The following is a 19,824-nucleotide window of genomic DNA, read 5'->3' as shown; positions in this document are numbered from 1 at the left end:
ACTATGTTAGCCATGCTGGTCTCGAACTGGGCTCAGGTGCTCCTCCCACCTCAGCCTCCCAAAGTGCTAGGATTATAGGTGTGAGCCACCGTGCCCAGCCCATACCTTCCTTTTCTAACTTTTTGTGTCCAAATTTTTATTGAAGTTCTTTGAGTAATATGGTCAGAGACGGTGTATGGGGTGGTGTACTGTCTGTGTCCCTGTTGTCTAGAAATGTAGGATTTTTTCACTTTTAAACTTGATGGATAGCTTGTCTGGGATCAGAATTTTAGGGCCATAGTTCTCCCTCAGAATTCTGTAAAATTGTTCCTTTGACTTCTAGCAGTTAATGTAGCAGATTAGAGGTCCAATGCCTATTTGAATGTCTCACTGGTTCATAAACTAATATTTCTGTATGGAAACCTAGAGCACTTTTATTTTGGCAATTCAGAAATTTAATTAGATTAAATGTCTAGATGTTTAACATTTTTATTGTTCTTGTTCTGACATTACAGATGTTTTAGATATGGAAACTCAGGGATTTCTTAGGGAAACTTTCCTATCTGCTTTATTGCTTTTTCTCAATTCATTTTGAGATACTGTTTTTCAAGATACTGATTTATTACCCAGGTGGGTTTATAATGTACTTATGAAATATAATAGTGCTGCATTGCCATGTTGGAGGAGTCACAGTAGCTAATAAAGGATATCTGTGATGATACAAGTCTTGAGAAAAGCATTGACAGGCAAAAATAAATAAATATACACATCCATGCATATATGCAATAAAGCATTCAGTTGAGTGGTATTAGAAATGTGCATGAGAATTTTCATGACTTTATTTTGGAACTTGTTATTCCTTTTCAGGACCGAAAGTTAACCAAAGCTGAGCAGCAAAGATTCAAGGAAGAAGCAGAGATGTTGAAGGGTCTCCAGCACCCCAATATAGTTCGATTTTATGATTCCTGGGAATCTATATTAAAAGGAAAGAAATGTATTGTATTAGTGACTGAACTAATGACATCTGGGACCTTAAAGACGTAAGTTGACCCTGATAGTGCCAATGTAGTTTTATTTGGAAATAATTTTCAGGAGTCATAACAATTTTTATAAAATAAAACTACTCAAAGAATTTTTAGAATCTGGCCAGGCGCAGTGGCTACACCTGTAATCCCAGCACTTTGGGAGACTGAGGAGGGTGGATCTCAAGACTAGCCTGGGCAACATGGTGAAACCTTGTCTCTACCAAAAAAATACAAAAAGTAACCAGATGTGGCAGCACACACCTGTAGTCCCAGCTACTCAGGAGGCTGAGGTTGGAGGATGGCTTGAGCCTGGGAGATGGAGGTTGCAGTGAGCCATGATTGTGCCACTGTATTCCAGCCTGGTTGACAAAGCCAGATCCTGTCTCAAAAAAAAAAAGAATTTGTAGATTCGAATCTAGTGACTGTTTTAAGTTAGGTTAAACAATTGAGATGTTAATGAAGTTTGTTAAAAAAATACAGTACTGAGAAGTTAATGTTTGTGGGATATTATAGAATTTTAGAATTAAAAATCTATTATAGAGAATATAATTTTATTTTATTTTATTTTATTTTATTATTTTTTGGGACAGGGTCTCACTCTGTCACCCAGACTGGAGTGGTGCAGTGGCATGATCATGGCTAACTGCAGCTTCGACCTCCTTGGGCTCAAGTGACCCTCCCACCTCAGCCTACTGAGTAGCTGGAACCACAAGCATGCAGCAACATGCCTGGCTAATTTTTTTAAAAATAATTTTTGTAGAGATGGGGTTTCGCCGTGTTGCCCAGGCTGGTCTCGAATTCCTGGGCTAAAGCAATCTGCCCACCTCAGCCTCCCAAAGTGCTAGGGTTATAGGAGTGAGGCAGCATGCCCGGCCATAATTTTATTTTGTAGAAGATAATGGAAGGTTGGAGGGCTTGGTCAAGTTCAAATATCTAGTGAGCGATACTATTATGATATTATAGTATTATAGTATATTATTATAGTATTATATAGTATAATATTATAGTATTATAGACTATTAATTATAGTCTTTTATTTCTAACCACAATTATTCATTTGGTGAATAATGACTTGTAAATATTAAATGTGGTTTAATCACTTGCAAATATTAAATATGGTATAAACTTTTTGTTTCCTAACATTTGTGTATATACTAAAATTTTACATAGTTTAACCCTCTAGTGACTTTATATAAGCAGTTATTAGGTAGTAGAGAAGGACTTTCTTTTTAAAATTGTGCTGCCATTCTACAAAAGGCCACTCTGGAATGATTTTTAGTTTGAATTAAAAATGCTACACTTGGCTAAGTGTGGTGGCTGATGCCTGTCATCCTAGCACTTTGGGAGGCCGAGGCAGGCAGATCACCTGAGGTCAGGATTTCAAGACCAGCCTGGCCCACATGGTGAAACCCCGTCTATGCCAAAATGCAAAAATTAGCTTGGCGTGGTGGTGCATGCCTGTAGTCCCAGTTACTTGGGAGGCTGAGGCATGAGAATCACATGAACCTGGGAGGCGGAAGCTGCAGTGAGCTGAGATTGCACCACTGCCCTCCAGCCTGGGAGACAGAGTGAGACTTCGTCTTAAAAAAAAACCAACCAACCAACCAAACAAACAAAACAGCTATGCTTGGTAGGATGTCTTATCTAAGAATGAAGTATTAGATTAAATTTTTGTTTTGCCATAACAGACAATAGAAAACAACTCAGTGATGGGAATCATAGTGCATAAGTTGTTTGCTTATGTAACTTACCTTAATAGTGTTCATATAATAAGTTGGATATGTTTGTTTACACATGGTCTTTTGTTTCTTTGTATAGGTACTTAAAACGATTTAAAGTCATGAAACCAAAGGTCTTAAGGAGCTGGTGCAGGCAAATTTTAAAGGGGTTGCAGTTCTTGCACACTAGGACTCCTCCTATTATTCACCGGGATCTGAAGTGTGACAATATTTTCATCACGGGACCCACTGGATCTGTGAAGATTGGTGATCTAGGATTAGCCACCTTAATGCGTACCTCATTTGCTAAGAGTGTCATTGGTGATTAAAGTTTTACAGTTTACTGGTTGGGTAAAGAGAGATTTTTCAATTGTATAGGTCTAGAACAGGAATCAGCCAGCTATGGCCAGTGGGATGAATGTGGCTCACTGCCTGTTTTTGTAAATCGAATTTTATTAGAACACAGTCACACTCACTCATTTACAGATTGTCTAGGACTGCTTTTGCACCTACAAGTGACAGAGTTGAGTAGTTGTGTGACAGAGACCATACAAACTGCAAAACCTAAACAGTTTACTATCTGGCCCTTAACAGAAAAGTTTGCCAATACTGGGCTTAGACTGAATTTGCTTTGAAATACCTATTATATATTGGCTTTTTTCAGAGACATCCTAATGTATTTTTTGTGGGATAATAATTTATATTTAGGATTATTGAAAGGTTCTAAGGATGTAAGTAAGAGAGTTTATTAAGTTAATTCAGAAAAATTTAAGTAAAAAGGATAGAAATAAAAACATTTTATTAATCGTTACCTAATCTTGAGCATTACAAATTACACTCTATCAGTATGGAAAATTAAATAAATTATTTCAGTGCTTTATGTAGATATAGCAAATATTCAACAAATTGTATACTTAAAAATTTGCGGCCAGGCATGGTGGCCCACGCCTGTAATCCCAGCACTTTGGGAGCCTGAGGCGGGTGGATCACGAGGTCAGGAGTTCGAGACCAGCCTGGCCAACATGGTGAAACCCCGTCTCTACTAAAAATACAAAAATTAGCCAGGCATGGTGGCAGGCGCTTGTAATCCCAGCTACCCGGGAGGCTGAGGCAGGAGAATCACTTGAACCCGGGTGGCAGAGGTTGCAGTGAGCTGAGATGGCACCACTGCACTCCAGCCTGGGCAACAGAGCAAGACTATGTCTCAAAAAAAAAAAAGAAATTTGCTTTGGGGGAGTAGAAATTAACACAGATAATCCTTATAGGAAAGGGGATGTGATCTTGGTGGATACGTTTTTCTCTTCTATAAGAATGTGGTGGTGGTGTTATTTTGTAGGAACTCCTGAGTTTATGGCTCCAGAGATGTATGAAGAACACTATGATGAATCCGTAGATGTTTATGCTTTTGGAATGTGTATGCTGGAAATGGCCACATCGGAGTATCCTTATTCTGAGTGTCAGAATGCAGCTCAAATATACCGGAAAGTAACTAGTGTAGGTATAACTTTTTTCTTTTTACTTTATCAGTTGCCACGTTTCATGTTGAAATTAGTTAAGTTTGACTTACTCAAAACTAATTTTGGTTTAGCTCTAGGTAACAGTATTAAAATTAACAATTGTAATGCAACAAGCCTTAGATTTATACCATATGACTATGCTTCATTGGAGTCATATAAAATGCTCTGTATTAGTATCTTTGGGAAAATGTACAGGTATATCATCTATATATATTTGTTTGTAAGGAATTTTTAGTTATCTATTAGATGGATCTTATTTTTCAAAGCTGAATAATAGAGACCGACTACATGGTTTCTTCTAGGTCTAAAAGCCTTTTTATGAAAGGGCATTCAAAATATAGTTCAATAGATACAGTATTTGGGTCCCTGCTATGAGTAAATTTTTGTGTTAGAAATTGTAAGGAATGCAAACATGAGTAAGAAGTGTTTGCTACCCTAAAGAGCTTACATTTCTAATAAGGGAATAATATAAATTCACAAATGACTATAAAATAAGAGGATGAGAGTATAGTAAGGGACATAAGGAAGGTAGAAGCAAAGTGTTGTTCAAAGGAGGACTGCTTCATATCCAGTTGGGCAGCTCAAGACAGGCTGTGAAAGATTGTTTCAGGTAGCTTAACATTAGTAGGTATTGGTTTTTTAAATCCTTTTAAAATTAATACCTTTTTTTTTTTTTTTTGAGACACAGTCTGTCGCCAGGCTTTAGTGCAGTGGCGGGATCTCGGCTCACTGCAACCTCCACCTCCCGGGTTCAAGCAATTCTCCTGCCTCAGCCTCCCAAATAGCTGGGACTACAGGTGTGCACCACCACGCCCAGCTAATTTTGTATTTTTAGTAGAGATGGGGTTTCACCATGTTGGCCAGGATGGTCTTGATCTCTTGACCTTGTGATTCGCCCACCTCGGCCTCCCAAAGTGCTGGGATTACAGGTGTGAGCCACCGCGCCTGGCCAAAATTAATATCATTTTTAATTGACAAATTGTTATTGTACATATTTAAGGGGTACCATGTGATGTTTTGAGATACACACACACAAATGTGGAATGATTAAATCAGGCTAGTTAACATATCTGTCACCCCACTTGCTTATTATTTTGTGTGGTAAGACATTTGAAATTTACTAAGTTATTTTGAAATTTACAGTATATTATTGTTATTATCGACTGTAGTTACCCTGGTGTACGGTAGATCTCAAAACCTACTCCTCCTGTCTAACTGCAACTTGTACCTTTTGACCAATAGCTCCCCATTTCCTCCCCCACAACTCCCAGTCTCTGGTAACCATCATTCTACTCTTCTATGAGGTCATCTTTTTTAGATTCCATGTGTAAGTGAGATCATGTTGTATTTGTCTTTCTGTGCTGGTTTATTTCACTTAACATAATGTCTTCTAGGTTCATCCACATTGTCACAAATGATAGAATTTTCTTCTTTTTAAAGGCTGAATAGTATTCCATTGTATATATATACCACATTTTCTTTATTCATTCACTGATGAACATGTAGGTCATTTCCATATCTTGGCTATTGTGTATAGTGATGCAGTGAACATAGGCATGCATATATCTGTTTGACATACTAATTTCAATTCCTTTGGGTATGTACCAAGAAGTAGAATTGCTATGGTAGTTCTGTTTTTAGTTTTTTTGGGGAAGTTCCATACCATTTTCCATAACAGCTGTACCATTTATATTCCCATCAACAACGTACAAGGGTTCCCTTTTCTCTGCATCCTCACCAACACTTATCTTTCATCTTTTCGATAATAGTCATTCTAACAGATGTGAGGAGATACTGTTTTTTAATGCATGCGGTATACCACATGCTTTATTTATTTATTTTTTGAGACCGAGTCTTGCCCTGTCGTCTAGGCTGGAGTGCAATGGCGCTATCTCGGCTCACTGCATCCTCCACCTCCCAGGTTCAGGTGATTCTCCTGCCTCAGCCTCCCGAGTAGCTGGGATTACAGGCGTGCACCACCATGCCCGGCTAATTTTTTGTATCTTTAGTAGAGATGGTGTTTCACCATGTTGGCCAGGATGGTCTTGAACTCCTGACCTCGTGATCTACCCACCTTGGCCTCCCAAAGTTCTGGGATCACAAGCGTGAGCCACTGCGCCCGGCCACCACATACTTTAATCTTTATCCCCTACGAGATAGGTGCAATCTTCAGTTTACAGATGATGAAACTGAGAATCAGAGGTTGTACCTTGCCCAACTTCCCGCAGCTACTGATAATGGTGGGTTTTGACCCCAAGTCTGTCTGACTCTAGAAGTTTGTGTAAGGAGACAATAAGAAATAAGGCTACAATCCAGAATGTGGGACATTCTGTAGGACAAATGACCTAGTTTCTCCAACAAATACATTTTATGAAACAAACAGGAAGGGAGGGAGGCTTTTATAGAATACAAGAGACTTAAGAGTAGTGGTGAGCTGGTAAATGTTTAACACCTGATTCTCTGAAGAAAGAAAGAATGCTGACTTCTAGTATTTGCTGATTTTTGTGGTATAAGTACTCCCACTATGGCTGATTTCAGGTTACCAATGTGACCTCACTGAATGAAGAGTTGGGAAGAGATGCACTGTTGCACTCATTGTATGGTTATTTCTACCATGCAGATAGAGTAGCTGTAAATAACCTCAAACACATAAATAATAGTAAACTGTAGTAAAATAGTTAGGGAGTGATGTTTTCAGTATTTATTGCTTTGGCTTTTTTTTGCTCTGTTTTGTTTTGTTTTGTTTTTGAGACAGAGTCTCACTCTGTCACCCAGGCTGGAGTGCAGTGGTACGATCTCAGCTCACTGCAACCTCTGCCTCCTGGGTTCAAGCGATTCTCATGTTTCAGCCTCCCAAGTAGCTGGGATTACGGGCATGCGCCTCCACACCTGGCTAGTTTTTGTATATATATATATATTTTTTTAATAAAGATGTGGTTTTGCTATGCTGGCCAGGCTGGTCTCAAACTCCTGACCTCGGGTGATCTGCCCACCTCGGCCTCCCAAAGTACTGGGATTACAGGTGTGGGCCACTGTGCCCAGCTTACCTTGGCTTTTAATGTAATTTATTTAATTGTAAACTTTTATAATTTAGTTTTATTTTAAATGGCCATGTTTAACAATTGGATTGCAGAATTTCTGAAAACTTAATAGCATTTGTGAGCTGGTATGAGCCAGCTCATGCACACCCTACCCTATGGACCTTGTTTGGATCCTGATTTGAACAAACCAACTGTAAAAAGACATCATTTAGACAATTTTGAAAATTTGAGTATGGACTGGGTTTCAGATATTTGATATTAAGGAATTATTCATGAGTATTTTAGGGGGGACGATTATATGATTTTTTTTTTTTTTTGGAGACAGTGTTTGCTCTGTCACCCAGGCTTGAGTACAGTGGTACGATCTTGGCTCACTATAGCCTTGACTTCCTGGGCTCAGGCAATCCTCTCACCTCAGCCACCCTGGTAGCTGGGACCACAGGTACACACCACCACACGCAGCTATTTTTTTTTTCTTTTTATATTTTTGTGTAGAGATGGGGTTTCACCATGTTGCCCAGACTGGTCTTGAACTACTGGGCTCACGCAATCCACCCACCTTGGCCTCTTAAAGTACTAGGATTACAGGCATGAGCCACCATGCCTGAGCTACACGATTTTTTTTTAAAAGGTTCTTATCTGTTAGAGATGTAAACTGGAAAATTCATGGGTGAAATGACGTGATGCCTGAGATTTGCTTTAAAATATTCCAGGATACAATATGTGTGGGGGCAGATAGCTGAAACAAGGTTGGCAAAATGTTGACTGTTGTTGAAACTGGTGATGGTTACACGGGACTTCATTATGCTATTCTACTTTCAAGTATGTTTGAAAATTTCTATAAGAGCTCAGAAAAAGAGATAAGGCTAGAATGTGTTTTTAGTTTTGGCCCATATTTTGGAAGGCCATAAATAGAAAAGAATTTCGTGTTAGATTTTGTAAGTTACAGCTCCTGAACTGTTTTTACGTAGGAGCAGAGAAAGGCAGTAATTTACCCAGAGATGAGAAATGAGTATATCAGTGGGAAGGTCAAAGAGGGCTTTTTCCATAGGTAGAATAACAGGTCAATTTTTAAAAATTTTTTAAATGTATTTATTTTAGAAAATTTATTTTTATTTTTAATTTTTTATTGTACTTTGAGTTGCTGTTTTAATAGGTCTATTTTTTGAATAGTGACTTTATTATTTTATAGTAAAGTCATTAAAAATGCCATATCACAATTCAGATTTCCATCTGTCTTAAGCTTCTACATTTTAGGAACTAAATTAACTCCTAATTTCATCATATTTGTCTACGATGTAATGCTGGGCTTTCTGATTCTATGTCTTTTGAGGTAGCATGACAGGCGTAGAAGTAGATGTTAGATTGCTTCATTCCATAACAATTATTCTTTCCATTGTACCTTTCTGCTTCCAGCTTAATTTGGAATTTTCTATTAAATGACTGCAATGATCTTACTTGGGTTATTTTTTAAATCTTAAATAAAAGGTAATAGAATATAAAATAAGCAGATTCAGGAAGCCAACACAGTTATTATAGAAACATTTTGAATTGTCTGGACTTCATTTATTTGTTCTTGAATTCCTAGAACCTGATAATTAGCTTGAGGTACATGCTCTCAATATTTTATTATTGTTTAAGGATAAAAATAATACAGATTTCTTAAATATATAGGTATATATGTTCATATATATACATATATACCCATACATACACATATGTATCTACTGATTGCCGTCTACCGATGGCTTCTAGCCATTCTAGAAGACTGAAATATAGTGAATTGGGCTGGGTGCAGTGGCTCATGCCTGTAATCCTAGCACTTTGGGAAGCTGAGGCAGGAGGACTGTTTGAGCCCAGGAATTCAAGACCAGACTGGGCAACATAGCAAGACCTTGTCTCTACAAAAAAAAAAAAAAAAAAAAAATTAGCCGAGTTTGGTGGCATGCGCCTGTAGTCCCAGCTACTCTGGAGGCTGAGGTGGGAAGATCACTTGAGCTTGGGAGGTTGAGGCTGCAGTGAGCTGTGATCATGCCACTGCACTTCAGCCTGGGTGGACAGAGTGAGACCCTGTCTTAAAAATAAAAAAAAAAAAAAAAATATATATATATATATATATATATATAGAGAGAGAGAGAGAGAGAGAGAGAGAGAGAGAATTGGAATGTTTGAAATAGAGAAGCCTTTATTTTGAATTTTCAAAAGTTTTTTAAAATAGCATTAATTATTTTCTGATTTCAAAAAAGTATTTGTTTATGGCTGGGCGCAGTGGCTTACGCCTGTAATCCCAGCACTTTGGGAGGCTAAGGCAGGCAGATTGCCTGAGATCAGGAGTTTGAGACCAGTCAGGCCAACATGGTGAAACCCCGTCTCTACTAAAAATACAGAAAAATTAGCCGGGCTTGGTGGCGTGCGCCTGTAATCCCAGCTACTCAGGAGGCTGAGGCAGGGGAATTGCTTGAACCAGGGAGGTGGGAGGTTGCAGTGAGCCAAAATCACGCCACTGCACTCCAGCCTGGGCGACAGAGCGAGACTCCATCTCAAAATAAATAAATAAATAAACTTGTTTATTATATATTGTTAATTGGGATTATACTGTATGTAGATTTGGGGATCCTATTTTTCCCTACTTAATAGTACATTATGAGAATTTCCCATGTCATTAATTATTCTGAGAACATTTTTAATTTCTGTATATTGTCATATATACCTGCAGATCTAGATTTGAAAATCATACTATATATATAACATAATATGTGTAACTTTGCCTCTGTTGTCAGAAGTTTAGATTATTTAAGGTTTTTTTACTGTTATTTGTAGACAACATCCTTGTCAAAAGGTTATTAAACTTATGTTCTCTATATATACACATGTATATTTAAATATTTCATTTAAAACTTGACTATGGTTTAGTGATAAAAATAATGTTTAATAAATGTCATGTTGACTTGGGCTTTCAATTGCATCATTGTTACTAGAAACCATTTTTTTCTCCTAGGGCATAAAACCAGCCAGCTTCAATAAAGTCACTGATCCTGAAGTCAAAGAAATCATTGAAGGATGTATTCGTCAAAACAAATCTGAAAGGTGGGTGCAATTGTAGCAAAATGACATAACTGAAAGATGCATTTTTCTCTTATCTTGCATTGGGTCGTTTTCTGACCTTTCAGTCATGCTGAGTTTGACTTTTGAGTAGAAGCCAAACCATACTCTAGATTGAAGTGTATCAGTGCATGTTGTTTACCATTTTAGACTTGGATATCATGTGCTGAATTTTTCTTGAACTGACGTTTGGGTTGCGTTTGTGTGTGTGTGTGCCTTTTGACAAGCTTTCATCACCTTCAGCCATCAGCTTAACAGTCAGTAGGCCCTCACAAGTTAATTTGCTTCTAACAGTTGAGAGTGGACAAAATTTTAAAAATTTGATTCTATATCTTTAGTGTCATGATAATGATAAAGCTAATATGGATAGAAGAAATATGTATTCAAGAAATCGTATTCCACATTTATTTGTGTCACAATTTGCTTTATAGACAACTCCCATTACTCTTAGCTTTTGCCTCCCTTTAGGTTTTATTTCTTATTTTATTTTTAATTTTTTTTTTTTTTTTTTTTGAGACAGAGTCTCGCTCTGTTACCCAGGCTGAAGTGCAGTGGTACGATCTTGACCCATTGCAACCTCTGCCTCCCGGGTTCCAGCGATTCTCCTGCCTCAGCCTCCTGAGTAGCTGGGATTGCAGGTGCATGCCATCACACCTGGCTAATTTTTGTATTTTTAGTAGAGACAGGGTTTTACCATGTTGGCCAGGCTGGTCTCCAACTCCTGGCCTCAAGTGATCCACCCGTCTCAGCCTCCCAAAGTGCTGTCATTACAGGCGTGAACCACCACGCCCAACCTGCCTCCCTTTAGTTTCAGCTTTGGACAGTTGCTGACTTTAAATTGGTGGGTTTGTCTTTTGATTTTTACTTCCTTATTGATGATTATTAGTAAAGGCGATATATCCTTAGTAGAAATTTTCATGGGGTTATTGGCCATTTGTATATCTTTGCAGAAATATCTATTCAACTCTTTTGCCCATTTTTAATTGGCTTGTTTGGTTTTTTGTTGTTGAGATAGGAGCTTAGGCATGCTTTTAAAAATGAAGCTAAAAACACTATATAGAAGTAGCTATTTTAGTTTGGATTCTGATTGTTGTTTGTACAGCCTTTAAATATGTTCTATTACCAAAGAGCACTGGAATATTGCAAAGGATTTATAGCATATTAGTATATTGGGAAAAGCACAGTCTTCATCATCAGACTTAAAGTCAAATCTGGGCTCACACTTAGCCTGTGTGACCTTGAACAAGTTAGTAATTACATAAAACAAGTATTATTTTGATAACTAAAAGGATAATAGGTTGAGGGTAGTGGCTTATACCTGTAATCCTAGCACTTTGGGAGGCCGAGGCAGGAGGATCACTTGAGGCCAGGAGTTCACGACCAGTCTGGGAAGCAAAATGAGACCCTTGTCTCTACAAAATATTAAAATGAAAAAATTAGCCAGGCATAGTGTCACACGCCTGTAGTCCCAGCCCCTGGGGAGGCTGAAGTGGGAGGATTGCTTGAGCCCAGGAGTTGGAAGCTACAATGAGCTATGATCATGTCACTGTACTCTAGCCTGGATGACAGAGTAAGACCCTGTCTTAAAAACAAACAGGCTGGGTGCAGTGGCTTACACCTCTAATACCAGCACTTTGGGAGGCTGAGGCGGGCAGATCACTTGAGGTCAGGAGTTTGAGACCAGCCTGGACAACATGACGAAACCCCATCTCTACAAGAAATACAAAAATTAGCTGGGCGTGGTGGTGGGTGCCTATAATCCCAGCTACTCTGGGGGCTGAGGCAGGAGAATTGCTCGAACCTGGGAGGTGGAGGTTGCAGTGAGCCGAGATCTTGCCACTGCACTCCAGCCTGGGCAACAGAGTGAGACTCCATCCCAAAACAAGCAAGCAAACAAACAAGCAAACTAATAAACCAAAATAATTCTACTGTAAATAATAAAAATTTTACAGTAAAAATTCACTATAAATAATACAGTAAAAATTTTTATTGGGAAGCAGAGGGCTTTACTTGGTTGTGCCTCCTTAAACACATCTCGCTTTAGTCTTAGGGACGGGCACAGTGGCTCACGCCTGAGGCTGAGTGGGGCGGATCACAAAATCAAGAGATTGAGACCATCCTGGCCAACATGGTGAAACCCCGTTTCTACTAAAAAATATAAAAATTAGCTGAGCGTGGTGGCACACACCTGTAGTCCCAGCTACTTGGGAGGCTGAGGCAGGAAAATTGCTTGAACCTGGGAGGTGGAGGTTGCAGTGAGCCAAGATCACGCGACTGCACTCCGTCCCAAAAAAAAAAAAAAAAAACACCAAAACACACATCTCATTTTAGTCTTAAAAGTAATTCATTTGAGCAACTTTTTCTTTTTCAAAAAAATCAACTTTGTATGGAATGATGGCTTATTCTATTTATGACACCATCTTAGTTAAGTATTTGTCACTTGGTCACTAAAAATGTAGGGGGTTGAAAATCCTCAACTTACAGGATATCATGCTGTGTATATACTTTTTCTGTTTATGTAGTGTAAGAAGAGGTCTCTGTAGACATTATGCAGTACATCAGTTTCAGCTCTCACTGGCCTGTAATACAGAGAGTTTAAATATTATGTATCTGTTTTAAAAGTTAGTAAAAGTAAATTAACTTGTCCAGCTTGTAAACAAATCTTTTGAAGCTATGTCCTTTGTTTCTCTTCAGAGATGGTTAATCCCTAATACTAGGCTAGGGTTGTATCTGTTATATGTATACTCTGGTCTAAAACCAGAGTTAAATACGAAAACCACTGGACTTTGCTGAACCACATTAGCTTCACCCATGGCATTCTGTAAAGTACTTTGACTAGATTATTGTTAATGGAGACAGTGACTTCTATTTATAACATTCGTAAAAAGAGTTTGAATTTTTAACGTACTTTAGAGTTTATAAATCTGCAAGTTTTTGGTTCCCTTTGCTGAGAATCTACTGTTTGAGTCTGAGTAACTTAAGCCAGTGGCTTAGGGAAATTTGCCTAACATGTACTAAGCTACTTCTCCAGTTCTCACTAGGCATAATTTTGTGTATGTTAAACTTTGTTATTTAGATGTATTACTTGTAAGAATTCATTTTTAATTGAAGTCACTCCGTATGCATGTTAGTTGGGATTTCTTTGCATCCCTGGTAATAAATTGGATATAAGATTTATTGTTGTTTTTGCTTCCACAGGATCTGTTAAAGAGATTTGGTTTTTATAACAAGGCAGATTAATGATTAAATTGATAGAAAATTTCAAATAAGTTTTTTGCTTTTATACAATTAATTTTTAGTAATTAAAGGGTCTTGCTATGATTGGAAGAACTGATAATGAGATATATGTTTTGTTTATTAGGTTGTCTATCAGGGACCTATTAAACCATGCATTTTTTGCTGAGGATACAGGACTGAGGGTGGAGTTAGCAGAAGAAGATGATTGCTCAAATTCATCCCTTGCTTTAAGACTCTGGGTTGAAGACCCTAAAAAATTGAAAGGCAAACACAAAGACAATGAAGCTATTGAATTTAGTTTCAACTTAGAAACAGATACACCTGAGGAAGTAGCATATGAAATGGTAAGTTAATCATACCACTATTCCCCTCACCTCTTATTGTATCAGAGTTCATTCCTTGCTCCTTCTCATTGCTTTCTTTCCTCTCATTTTCTCCTTTTTTTTGAGACAGAGTCTCGCTCTGTCACCCAGGCTGGAGTGCAGTGGTGCGATCTCGGCTCACTGCAAGCTCCGCCTCCTGGGTTCATGCCAATCTCCTGCCTCAGCCTCCTGAGTAGCTGGGACTACAGGAGCCCGCCACCACGCCCGGCTAATTTTTTGTATTTTTACTAGAGACGGGATTTCACCGTGTTAGTCAGGCTGGTCTTGAACTCCTGACCTTGTGATCCGCCCACCTCAGCCTCCCAAAGTGCTGGGATTACAGGCGTGAGCCATCGAGCCTGACCTTCTCCTTTTTTCTTTAAATTGTTATGTTGTTGTGAACTATATCGCTGTGACAGTGTATTAAATTTGTATGTAGAGTATAAAGAATAATAAAGCTCTACATTTATTAAGAAATAGAACATTACCATTACCTTAAAAGCCACCTGAGTGCCTCTCTCATTTGCATTTTCCTCCCTCATCACCATGAGTAATATCTACCTAGATTTTTTTTTTTTTTGAGATGGAGTCTCACTCTGTTGCCCAGGTTGGAGTGCAGTGGCACAATCTCGGCTCACCACGACCTCTGCCTCCCGAGTTCAAGCGACTCTCCTGTCTCAGCCTCCCGAGTTGCTGGGATTACAGGCGCCTGCCACCACTCCCAGCTAATTTTTGTACTTTTAGTAGAGATGTGGTTTCACCATGTTAGCCAGGCTGGTCTCGAACTCCTGACTTCAAGTGATCTGTCCCCACCTCAGCTTCCCAAAGTGTTGGGATTACAGGTATCAGCCACTGTGCCCGGCCCCTACCCAGACTTTTGTGTTACTCATTTCTTTGTTTTTCATCATAGTTTACCTGCATAATATATTGTTTTGTTTTGAAAACTGAATGGCAAGCATGCACCTAGTTGGTGGGAAGGGGCAGTATTGGTACAATTAGGTGAAGAGTCCCAGGAGAGGATAAGCTGAAGAGACTTTCTCAGTTATAGCAATTCCAGCTTCAGTTTCCCTAAGAGTTTACAAGAGCTACTTCTGGAGAAGTCAGAGGGTAAGGTTCTAAATGAGGCCAGGAAAATACACCCATGTCTCAGCGCAGTCAGGGCACCGGCAGGGCTAGTGTGCAGACCAGAAATTAGTTGTCTGGTTACCATATGGTTTGATGGGGAGTGGGCCACTCTGACTCTTTGCTTCCAATCTCTCTGTGACCAGCCCCCACTCTCAATAGTGGATCACAGAAGGCAACTTCTGTGGGGTGAAATGCATGTCCATACCTGCTCCAGGCAGCTGCAGTGCTGATGGGAGGGTGTGCAGGAGCCGCAGCAGCATGTACTCAAAACCAGCCGAGTACAAACCATCTGCGCCAGGCTCACCTGGGCATTCTGGCCTCAGGTTAAAAAGAAGGATGGGGCAATGACAGTGGGAACCTGGAAATGATAGCCTTTAACATGTCTTTCTGATCATACTGTTGTTCTAAACTGGAATGATTATTTTGGACATCTGGTACACAACTATCACCCTGGCATTTCCCATTACCATCTTCCTAGACTTCTCTGCTTCACTCCTGTATTTAATTTTGGATTTCCTGAATCCCATGTCTTCAGGGGACATGGGATTAGCTGGGTCCACTTTCAGCTCCTAGAAGCCACTCTTCAGTCCTTTCCATGTCTCCACCCCGTCTTCAAAGCCAGCAATGGCATATTGAATCCTTCTAGTGTCAGCAGCTGGTAAAAGATTCACCGAGATAATCTCCCTAGATTAAGGCCAATTGTGCTATATATTATAGCAAACACAATGATGGGAGTGATATCTCATATGCACAGGTTTGGGGATTAAGAGGGATCATCTTAAAGCAGATTGCAGGACTGAGAATGATATGTCATGGTACCTCCTCAAATGATCTTCTCTACTGTTCAGCCCTGTTCCTCTGAGATGACGAGGCAGAACCTTTTCTTCTCTCACTCCTCTAATGCCTAGTAAGATGTAGCACTTTGCTGTTAGCATACTTGCCTCTGCCTAGAATGTTGGTCTCCACTCCAAACTTCTGCACATCCCTCAATAGTGTGCACGTTCCTTTTTTGGCTTTAATTCAGGTCAGAACTTACCTTCCAGGCTGGATGTGGTGGCTCATGCCTGTTATCCCAGCACTTTGGGGAGACCGAGGTGAGAGGATTGCTTGAGCCCAGGAGTTCGAGACCAAAGCCCAAGCAATATAGGGAGACCCCATCTCTACAAAAAATTAAAAATTAGCCAGGTGTGGTGGTGCATGCCTGTGATCCCAGCTACTCGGGAGGCTGAGGTGGGAGGATCACTTGAGCCTGGGAGGTCAAGGCTGCATTGACCTATCATTGTACCACTGCATTCTAGCCTGGGCAACAGAGTGAGAACCTGTCTCTCAAAAACAAATCAAATAAAATAGAATTCTTTTGTGAAAACACTTACTCTATTACCTTCAGAGATGCAGCGTGCTCCTACTTAAGACTTTTACAGCAGCTCATTTCAAGTTAAGTTATGTCCATTTCACACCACCTGATAGTGTGCTCATACAGGACAAAGGACCAACTTAGTCACCTGTATCTGGTGCCTAGTACTGTGCACATTGTAGACACTTAATGTTGCTGAATGAGGAAACCTTTTTAATCCTTCAAAAAACGTAATGGCAGTTCTAAATTACCTGTGATAAGACTGCATATTCTGAAACATCAAGTTGTTTTGTTCGTTTTTGTTTAAAGCCTGAATTATTTTAACAATGCTTGGTAATACTATTGATTTTTCTCATGCCAATTAGAGGCTCTGGCATTTATGTATGTCTTTGTTTAAGAGAGAATATAGAAACAGATTAACTGTTAATTTGGAATTTGGGGGCATAAAATAACTGCTAGTAAAAAAAAAAAAAGTTAAAATTGGCCGGGCGCGGTGGCTCATGCTTGTAATCCTAGCACTTTGGGAGGCTGAGGCGGTGGATCACGACGTCAGGAATTCAAGACCAGCCTGGCCAACACAGTGAAACCCCGTCCCTACTAAAAATACAAAAAAATTAGCTGGGCGTGGTGGCGGGCACCTGTAATCCCAGCTACTTGGGAGGCTGAGGCAGGAGAATCGCTTGAACCTAGGAGACAGAGTTGCAGTGAGCCGAGATCATGCCACTGCACTCCAGCCTGGGCGACAGAGCTAGACTCTGTCTCAAAAAAAAAAAAAAAGTTAAAATCTTAAATGTTAAAGAAGTAGTTTGCTTATTATGTTTTGTTTGTAGGTCAAGTCTGGGTTCTTCCATGAAAGTGATTCCAAAGCTGTTGCTAAATCCATTAGAGACCGGGTGACGCCAATAAAGAAGACAAGAGAGAAGAAGCCTGCTGGCTGTTTGGAAGAACGCAGGGATTCTCAGTGCAAGTCTATGGGGAATGTATTCCCTCAGCCCCAGAATACAACTTTACCCCTTGCTCCCGCTCAGCAAACTGGGGCTGAATGTGAAGAAACTGAAGTTGATCAACATGTTAGACAACAGCTTCTACAAAGAAAACCACAGCAGCACTGCTCCTCTGTTACAGGTAACACAGTTACAGCTTGTAAAAGCAAACGCATGTGCAATTATATTCTCTAATCTTTATTTATTTTGAAGGGCAGTGGTCAATGACCTATTTTGTTTCTTTTCCTTTTTGTATGTTTGCTTATCTTTAAATAGCACTTCTGTGCTCTAAATAGCACTTCTATCATTTCATCAAGCCTTTTACAAAACCCCTGAAATAGACAAGCCAGCTAGTTTCCTTATTTTAAAATTAAGAAACTGTTTTGTTAAGTGATTCTTCTAAGGTGCTAGTTGCAGAAGGATCATAATCTAGCATCTGGTTTTGTTTGGGGTATAAATAAAATGATCTTATTATCATTTTTGAGGGTCTAACATAAATCCTTTCTTTTTTTTGAGACAGGGCCTTGCTCTGTCACCTAGGCTGGAGTGCAGTGGTGTGATCATGATTCACTGCAGCCTCGACCTCCCCAGGCTCAGGTGATCCTCCCACCTCAGCCCCCTGAGTAGCTGGGACTACAAGTGCGTGCCACTACACCTGGCTAATTTTTGTATTTTCTTTTGGTAGAGATGGGGTTTCACCATATTGGCCAGGCTGGTCTCAAACTCCTGGGCTCAAGCCATCTACCCGCCTCAGCCTCCCAAAGTGTTGGGATTGTAGGCATGAGCCACCGCGCCCAGCCACGTACATCGTTTAATAAAGAAAATTTAGAACTAAAGATAAAATTTATTCCTCAAGAAGGAATTTTCTAGTCTTTAAGACCCTTTGTATTTTAGGCTCAAGTGTAACATTAACACAATTCCTCTAATTTTCTGCTGTAATGCATTTTCTTTTCCAGAAGGACACAGTATTTGCATAGTAATAACCTATTGTTCTACAAAGACAGTATTCTAGGTTATAGGAGAAAGAGAATATGATATATTTTACTGAAATCCTTATGTCAAGTGTAGATTAGTTAGGGATATACATGACATGGCCAGCAAATGGAGTTGATTTTTATCTGATTCTCTGTTTTTAGGTTGGCTTTACTAAGAAAATTTTAGTTATACCACAATGTCAACATTTCATTGCTTGATAAGAGTTTACATGCTGGTTTTTGATTAATGTTGTAGTGTAAATATTTTATTTGAAGCTATGTCAGGTTCTCAGAGTAAAAAAGCCATTAAAGAAACACCATTACCTATACCATTTGGACATTTTGTGCTTCAAGTTTTCCCTTCTACCTGTTACTTATTTTCTTTTTTTATAGGTGACAATTTGTCTGAGGCAGGAGCTGCATCAGTTATACATTCAGATACTTCAAGTCAGCCCAGTGTAGCCTATTCCTCAAATCAAACGATGGGCTCTCAAATGGTTTCTAATATCCCGCAGGCTGAAGTAAATGTTCCAGGGCAAATTTATTCATCTCAGCAACTAGTAGGACATTACCAGCAAGTTTCAGGGGTGAGGTGAACTGTTATATTTTTAAATATATAATCAGTGTATTTACTGTAAATGGGAAAGTTTATCTTTAATCTTTTTTTCCCCTTATTTTAACAGTTACAGAAGCATTCAAAGCTGACTCAGCCGCAGATTTTGCCTTTGGTTCAAGGTCAGTCCACTGTTTTACCTGTACATGTCCTTGGACCGACAGTTGTTTCACAACCCCAGGTTTCCCCATTAACTGTTCAGAAGGTCCCACAGATAAAGGTAAGACACATTTTAGAGGTTCTGTATTCATTTAAACAAATTAAACACTGCCTAGATTTTCTGACAGGCAAAAGTTCTCTTTTATAAATTCATTATAGTTTAGAGAAAGGTCACCAAAAGCTAAAAGTTGTTTATGCTTTCCTTCACCCAAGACATTCCTTTTTTTTTTTTTTTTTTTTTTGAGGTGGAGTGTCGCTCTTGCTGCCCAGGCTGGAGTGCAATGGTGCAATCTCGGCTCACCGCAACCTCCACCTCCCAGGTTCAAGTGATTCTCCTGCCTCAGCCTCCCAAGTAGCTGGGATTACAGGCATGTGCCACCATGCCCCGCTAATTTTTTGTATTTTTAGTAGAAACGGGGTTTCTCCATGTTGGTCAGGTTGGTCTCGAACTCCCGACCTCAGGTGATCCGCCTGCCTCGGCCTCCCAAAGTGCTAGGATAACAGACATGAGCCACAGTACCCGGCCCAAGATGTTCCTCTTAATGTGTCTAATATTGTGTAACTAGAATCTTGAGATACTGCTTGTATAATTGGAGAAGAAACAGAGAACTCAGTATATATGGACAAAAGATTTA

At 39.5% G+C, this 19,824-nt stretch overlaps 1 protein-coding gene across 22 annotated transcripts in view; it reads left to right on the top strand.

Moving 5' to 3' along the window:
• WNK3 (WNK lysine deficient protein kinase 3) overlaps window positions 1-19,824 on the top strand; it is a 166,078-nt gene that overhangs the window by 46,763 nt on the left and 99,491 nt on the right. For all 22 annotated transcript variants that reach the window (XM_047442382.1, XM_047442379.1, XM_017029744.2 and 19 more), the window contains exons 3-10: window positions 847-1,019; window positions 2,823-3,043; window positions 4,059-4,216; window positions 10,279-10,367; window positions 13,744-13,963; window positions 17,291-17,585; window positions 18,811-19,004; window positions 19,101-19,250. In XM_047442382.1, coding sequence (XP_047298338.1) covers window positions 847-1,019; window positions 2,823-3,043; window positions 4,059-4,216; window positions 10,279-10,367; window positions 13,744-13,963; window positions 17,291-17,585; window positions 18,811-19,004; window positions 19,101-19,250 — 1,500 coding nt within the window. The remainder of the gene's footprint in view (window positions 1-846; window positions 1,020-2,822; window positions 3,044-4,058; window positions 4,217-10,278; window positions 10,368-13,743; window positions 13,964-17,290; window positions 17,586-18,810; window positions 19,005-19,100; window positions 19,251-19,824) is intronic.

This window comes from Homo sapiens, chromosome X (genome assembly GCF_000001405.40).
Source record: "Homo sapiens chromosome X, GRCh38.p14 Primary Assembly".
Classification (NCBI taxonomy): Eukaryota; Metazoa; Chordata; class Mammalia; order Primates; family Hominidae; genus Homo; species Homo sapiens.
This window is presented reverse-complemented; position numbering and strand designations above follow the sequence as displayed.